This window comes from Homo sapiens, chromosome 17 (genome assembly GCF_000001405.40).
Source record: "Homo sapiens chromosome 17, GRCh38.p14 Primary Assembly".
NCBI lineage: Eukaryota > Metazoa > Chordata > Mammalia > Primates > Hominidae > Homo > Homo sapiens.
In genome coordinates this window covers 13,092,751-13,100,531 of record NC_000017.11, presented here as the reverse complement: position 1 = coordinate 13,100,531, position 7,781 = coordinate 13,092,751, and the positions used below count along the sequence as shown (strand labels likewise).

The 7,781-nt window shown below is 43.3% G+C and overlaps 1 annotated feature.

The window, feature by feature from the left end:
* Positions 3,367-4,566: an enhancer, noted in NCBI's record as "BRD4-independent group 4 enhancer chr17:12999283-13000482 (GRCh37/hg19 assembly coordinates)". NCBI's record gives its function as "activates an origin of replication core promoter dependent on BRD2, P300/CBP, MED14 and CDK7 cofactors, and independent of BRD4, by STARR-seq in HCT116 cells {active_cell/tissue: HCT116}" and the evidence as "EXISTENCE:reporter gene assay evidence [ECO:0000049][PMID:35650434]".

Genomic DNA, 7,781 nt, shown 5'->3' with positions numbered 1-7,781 from the left:
GGTCTTTACCACAGCCTATAGCTTCACACAGCCGTGATAGGAGCTGGAGACATCTGAAGGCAGTTGGCATCTTCGTCGAGCCCTCTGGCCACTCCATAGCAAGTTAGAGTCTGTGAACACGTCTTCATGGAGCACACATCCTCCTCCACCTCTTCTCTCTTCAAAACCTAAAAGGCGGGCTTCCAGCTCAAGACCGATGGTGCCTTTCTGAAAGTTCTCTGAAATAAAAATGAGACGTTATAAAAATATTATCCTTGAGCAATTAAAAGAACAGGAAGGGGGGAAATCACTAATTTCAACAAATTTCCAGAAGACATAGAAGGGATGCCTGAGTGTTGGCAGGTGGGATGGGCAGAGCAACAGGCGGCTGAATGCAGCAGCTTGGAGCACAGGAGGGAGTTAGAGAGAAGACCGGGGACCATCTGCACAATGTAACTCACGGAGGGGAAGCGTGGCTGCCTAAAATGAACGGGTTCATTGAAAGCCTGTGTTTAGCAGATCTGCTGGTACCACCGCACCCCGTAAACAGAGCTCAGGCAGCTGATACTTATCACCAGACTGTCCCCGCTCCACCAAAAAACAAGAAGAAAAGAAAAAAACCCTCTTTTCTAAAGAAACCAAAAATATTTGTTAAAAATATTAACTGTAGTCAAGAGTCTCTTTAGACAAATTATTTTTAAGTAATAATTTCTTTAAAATTTTGCAGAGAAGAGCAGTGGATACTGGACTTGGGAATTCCTTTAACAGGAAATTGAATTTTAAACAAATCAATCTATTTTTTTAAGGAAATAAGCCTTATGTGGGTTGCTCTGTTATCCCCAGCCTGGACCTAAGCTGTTTCTACTCCACGTTCAGGCATGTTCAAGCATGCCTAACACAATTTGGGGGCTGTTGGCCAGAAATCTATATTCGGAAAGCCTGAGGGTCCAGGCAGAACTCAGTGGAAAAGAAAAGTGTCAGGGAGGCAGTGTGACCCGTAACAAGGGTTTCCCAATCAGAGGAGAAAAATGATGGTGTGTACAGCAAGCCATTGTTTCCAGGCCAGCCTCCCCGGACTGGACTCATACTTGCTTTTCAAAGAGACTAAAATCAAGTTCTGTTAGGACTGAAAGCTCCCAGCACTCTAGCGGAGGAAACACCATTCTGTCACCTAATAAAGAGAGGGTATCAGAGAGGAAGAGGAGGATTCTCCCCACTCTGGGGCCCGAGTCCCTCCAGAGCCCTGGTGTGTGAATAGCTGCAGTGTCCAGGGGAGGGCAGGATGCAGCGCCTAGCTGAGGAAGCAACAGAGCGCAAGAAAGAAGCAGCACAATGGATGCCTCCCCAGGCCTGAAGACCCTCTCACGGGGCCAGGACTATCCTTCCTCACGAGCACACCCTGGACCCCCAGGAACAACTTCAAATGCTGCAGTTGGAGGCAAAAAAACCCTGTAGCACAGAGGTTGTAAATAAACTTGTTAAATTAACTTTAGCCTAAAGGTGTCTCCTTACCTATTTTAAGTTTGGCCTACAGGTTTTTCTATGCATAGTGAACTACAGTCTGACTGGAGGTATACAGAGACTATAACTTACTCTTATGCCAATCACTGAGTTTTGGCCAATAAAGGCAGCCAACTGTTCAAACTGTGTTCAAATAAGACAAATGCTGAGCTATAACCAAGCTGGCTGTTTCGTTTGTTTGTTTGTTTGTTGTTTGTTTTTTGAGACAGGGTCTCACTCTGTCTCCCAGGCTAGAGTGCAATGGCGTGATCTCAACTCACTGCAGCCTCAAACACCTGGGTTCAAATGATTCTTCTGCCTCAGCCTCCCGAGTAGCTAGGACTACACACTACCATGCCCGGCTAATTTTTGTATTTTTAGTTGAGATGGGGTTTCACCATGTAGCCCAGGCCAGTCTCAAACTCCTGGCCTCAAGTGGTCTGCCCACCTCGGCCTCCCAAAGTGCTGGGGTTACAGGCATGTGGCACTGCACCCAGCCCCAATACGGCTGTTTCTGTACCTCACTTCTGTGTTTTGTATATCACTTTCCTTTTTCTGTCTATCATTGATCAATCAGTATTAAATGTGAAGAGCAAAGAAAAAGAATCCTTGTCTAAGCCTAACTTAAGAGCCCATCTATTTCAAGCAAAATGATCTATTATCAAATTAACATCCAACCAGAGCATTTTAATAGCCCCTTAGTGTTGTTGTTTCTTAAGAAATTAATTCCTGTGCTAAGAAAATGTGCAGAATTCAAGTCTGTAAACTAGGTGACTATGTTTCAAACAAAATGTCATATCCTTTTGCAAAATAAATACTGGCTATCGATTTGATAGTGATAAATGATTATTATTCACTCATTGCCTTACTTCTCATTTCTATTATAGCCTCATAAAATTGGCAGTCCAGGCCGGACACCGTGGCTCACGCCTGTAATCCCAGCACTTTGGGAGACTGAGGCGGGTGGATCACGAGGTCAGGAGTTCAAGACCAACCTGCCCAAGATGGTGAAACCTCGTCTCTACTAAAAATACAAAAATTAACCAGGCATGGTGGCACATGCCTGTAATCCCAGCTATCGAGAGGCTGAGGCACAGAATTGCTTAAAACCCGGGAGGCAGAGGTTGCAGTGAGCCGAGATCACCTGGGTGACGGAGCAAGATTCCATCTCAAAAAAAAAAAAAAAAAAAAAAAATTGGCAGTCCAGTGTGACAAAGATTATGTGCTTGGCCAAACTTTAGTTGGACTTCTGAATTTTCTCCTAGGCCCATCTATGCGCTTTCTTGTAAAATCCAGTTTTAGCAAAGAACCCTGGTAAGTCAGTTTAGCCAGAACCACCCAGTCCTGGGTATCTAATCATCCTTGATATGTGTTCAGGTTCCCCATCCTCCACCACCCACCAGGTGATGTCAGGTCACCCTGGCCTGTCTTCAGCAAGAATCCTGTTAGGTGGGTTTAGCCAGGATCCCCCTTACTCGTATTGTTTTCTGTTGGTAATTTTCCACCCACTGACCCTCACCCTGTTCTTTGGCTATAAACTCCCACTTGCCCATGCTGTATTCAAAGTTGAGCCCAGTCTCTCTCCCCAGCTGCAAGACCCTGTTGAAGTGGTCCATGTGCCTGTCACAATGGTCCTGAGTAGTCTTCCTTACTGATATGGTTTGGCTGTGTCCCCATCCAAATCTTATCTTGAGTTGTAGCTCTCATAATCCCCACGTGTTGTAGGAGGGACCTGGTGAGAGATAATTGAATCGTGGGGGTGGTTTCCCCCATTCCCCCATATTTTTCTCATTGTAGTGAATAAGTCTCACAAGATCTGATGGTTTTATAAGGGATTTCCCCTTTCACTTGGTTCTCATTCTCTCTTGGCTGCCGTCATAAGGCAACTAAGACATGCCTTTCGACTTCCACCATGATTGTGAGGCCTCCCCAGCCATGTGGAACTGTAAGTTCATTAAACCTCTTTTTCTTTATAAATTACCAAGTCTCAGGTATGTCTGTATCACAGCATGGAAATGGACGAATACACTTACCATGCTTTACCGAGTGTCATTGGGTAATTTTTTTCTCTTGCAACTGTCATTGTGAAGAGCAAGTCTCCAGAGCCATGTTGCAAAGGTGAGAATCCCATTTCACAAAGTGAACTTAGAGGTTTCTGTTTCTCCCTTTGATTCCTCACTTGTATAATGGAAGTACAAATACCACCTTCATCAAAGAATTACCAAGAGGAGTAAATGAGCTAATAATAGTATAGCACTTAAAACAACAAAACAATTCCTGAAACACAGTGGGCAGTCAATAAATGTTATCAAAATCACTGGCATCCTAGAAAGGCAGAGCTGGCAGGTACTTTAGGGGCCATCCAGCCCCTTTATCTGCAGCTGATGAATCTAAATATAAAAAAAAACTGTTGGAGCCAGAGCTTGGACTTCAAATCAAGCTCCCTTTCATGCTTAACTGAGAATTTCTTTGACACAAATTATTTGAGTAAAGCAGAAAGCAAGAGTTGTTTATTCTATGAGTACTTAGAAGATTGCCTTGAAAGAATTCCTGGACAACTGGCTTAAAATGTTATTCTCTTAGGAAACAGGACACAAACACAGCTTTTCGCCAGATCTACGGTGCTGTGGGGAACAGTTTCAGGACCCAGAATGTCAGGAGATTTGTAGGTCTCTAAATGTCATAAACTCCCACAGGGCCAGATCTACATACACACCGAGGTCAATTGGAGTCATCCTAACTGCCTGCCCAAAGAAACTTCCGGTTTTCTCAGAGCATGAGAAAGATCTCGTCTTGCAAGAGAAAGATCTCGTCTTATACGTGGTGCTGTTTCCTGCAGATCCTGCTTAAAACACTGAAGAACCTTCCAACACCACACACAGCTTTAACGAGAAGCTAATCCAACACGTGTAATATATTACACAATAATTAATTTAAATGCCTAAGTTTCAAATTCACTCTTTTTGAAAATTAGGGCAAATCCCAAGTTTTCCCCGCATAAATATGGCTTTCACTCGCCTGTATTTTGGTGTGCCTTTCCAGCATGAGATAAGGGAGTGGTGACAGCTGACAGACCAAGGTCTGAACGTGAGAGCTCATCACACGTTGGCTGACGGGTACACATGTCGCAGCAGAAAAGATGCCCCACCTGGGTTATAACCGATAGGCAACACGTATGGTTTTAGAAGTTTAGTCTAGGATGATTTTCCCTGCATGGGTCACCTTACTCTTGCTCTTGCAAAAATCAGTAAAACAGCTCAGCCAAGTCCAGGTCTAAATTCTCAACTTTTTAGGAAAAGCATTGCCTCCCTGGAGAAAATAGAATGTTTTTCCTTGTTGATGACGTTAGAATCCTGCCTTTAGGATTGTTATGAGGATTCTAGTGCACGTTTACAGCATGCCTGACAGAGTAGGTGCTCAATATATATATATATAACTTGTAAGGCGAGTACAGCTATCACAGTGCCTCTCCTTTTGAGGAAACTGAGTCTTAGAGAGATTCAGAAGCACCAAGATCACAGACCCAGTAAGAAGTAGAACCAGGCTCAGTGCTGTGGACTCATAGACTCAAAGCCACAGACTTGCCAAGAGAAGCCTGGCGAGGCTAGGACAGTGGCCATGGATAGTAAAGACGGCTAAGCTAACACAGCCATGGCTAACTTAGACCTCCTGACAATTTACCCTCAGCACAGAACCTTCTGAGAAAAAAAGGTGATAATTCAGGTGGGAGAATGGAGACACTTTCCTGAGAATTCTTAGAGGAGTTTGAAACAAAAGTCTGCTCACTTGTGCTGTTTGGGGTTGGGGTTGTGGGGATAACTTTCTGAGGAAAAACAAGGCATGGAAAACGAAGCCCAGAGGCTTCAAGGGGTGCTCCCTCATTCACCCACAAATGATCTGCTGTCCTAGGCAGGGCTTGCAGGAACCTGTGGTGTCAATGGATCCCCAACAAAGCCCTCCTTTAGGTGAACCCTCTACTACCCAGCCCCAAGCCCTGCTTCCTCACCTGGCTCTCATCTCCAATAATTAAAAACACCCTGGAGGAAGGAAGCAGAGAAAGTGTGAAATCTACAAATGAAGCCAAAATAAAAGTGCAGAAAAGTTAACGTTTAAGATTCCCCACCCTCCATTCATAAGGCCCTGTTTGGGGAATACAGGATGCAGGGGAGGGGAAGGAGTTATCACTTAACTGTTGGTGAACTTGGTTGGTGGATTAAGGAATCCTTTTGCTCCTTGGCTAATTTCACAATTTGTCTTTTTTTTTTCTCTCTGAAGCGTATCTTTGTAGCGGGTTTAAATGTTTTCTGCTCTGGGTTTAAATATTTTCTGATCATACTCTGCTCTGATTTTGCAAAGTTCTTGGCATATGGCCACTTAATAATGGTTTCTCGGGTTTTAATCAGTATCAGGAAAGTGGGGCAGGGCAGGTTGAAGAAGACCTTATTCTTGGAGGCCACGTGGGTAATGCCATGATCCAGTCACTGACTCCCCACGCCATGTGGCCTTACGGACATCATTGAAGCTTTCTGAATTTTTTTATTTCATTACCTCTAAAAGCAAAACAAAACATATTGAATATTGCTTTACAATTATATAAATAAATTAGACATTTTTAAAAAAGCAAACATACCATGAATATTTGGATCATTTCCATCTGCATGGAAGCTTAGTGCAGCTCCTCTTTTAAGAAAAAAAAAAAGATAATCCCACCATCTTCTGCTGTAGAGAAAAGACAATAACTCCCAGAGGTTCTTAGTTGGAATTGATCCGGGTTACCAATGACCGATCAATGAGAAAAAAAAATCAGAAGTTTAGGCATGTGTACATTTTATTTATACATGGAAGACACCTAGAGAATGAGTAGTTCTCAAAGAGGTGGCTTTGAATTCCAGCCTATACAGCACCCTCAAAGAATAGTAAATTTTTAGAGAAGTGACAAGACAAAGAAAAAGGACTTTGAGTCTCTACTAGCAGCAAAAAAGCAAAAAAAATGGCAGATAAGGGCTAGCCAGTGAAGCTTGTTAATGTAGATTTCTCTGGTACCATCTCCAGGCTGATAAACATTTAAAGGTGTCTTCAGTGGTTAAGCTTTGTTCTCCCTGGTAGAGAGGGGCCAGGTTACCTTTTGTCTTTCCAAATCTATGCCCTGCTTTTAGGCAAATGGAGGGCGGGCAGAGAGCTTTCCTGCATCTGCTTATTCTTAACTGTCTTCAGCTCAACAATTCTTTATATTTGGGGGAGGCATATTCTGGTCTCCCACTCTGCCATGTTTTGCTACTTTCCTTCTCAGCTGACCTTGCAAGAGGGTTAGCCATGCTTTCTCCACTTTCTCACTTCTATTCTTATGCCCCCTTCCATCCAGCTTGCATCTCTGTCACTCCAAAAACCACTCGACAAAGTTGACAATGACTTCTATTTGGCAAATGGCAATGGACAGATCTTTCCCTGTCTCATCTTGCCCTCTCAGAAACATTCATGACAGTGAATCACTCTTGTCCCTCTTTGCTTCTTTGTCCCATATTATCCTTGCTTTTCCTCCTACCTCTCAGTCTAGTTGGTTCTTCCTCCTCTGTAAAATCACCAGATGGATGGGCCCATCTCCTTTCCATTTCTTTCCTTAGAAGATTTCATCAATTCTCATGGTTAAAATTATCCATGTGCTGATAATGTCAAAATATATTTTTCATTTCAGATTAGTCCTCTGAGTTCCAGACTTTAATATCTGACTACTTACTTGTCATCTGTACTTTGATGTATCACAAAATTAAATGTCTCCTCTTTCCCATCAATAACTAATTGTCCATCAACCATCGATCATATCCATCTCTGTAAATGACACCACACTCTGCCTGAACCAAAAATCTATCTTAAATCTACCCATCTGTCTCGACCTCCACTGCCCTCCTGGCCCAAGACAGATCTTCCTGGTTCCATCTTTGACCCTTTCCATCTTTGCTCCGGAGCAAGAGTGATCTTAAAATGTAAATCAGAGTGGCATATTATCTGCTTAAAACTCTTCAATGGCTTAAGTTTGTTCAGGATGCTGTAATGAAACACCTTAGATTAGGTAATTTGTAAACAACAGAAATTTACTACTCATGGTTCTGGAGCCTAGGAAGTCTAAGATCAAGACACCGGCACATTCGGTGTCTGGTGAGGGACCACTTTCTCTTAGATGGCAACTTCTACGTGCCCTTACGCAGCAGAAGGGGCAAACAAGCCTCCATGGGCCTCTTTCATAAGGGCCCTTATTCCATTCATGAGGGCATAACCTTCCCGAGGCCTTATCTCTCACTACTCTT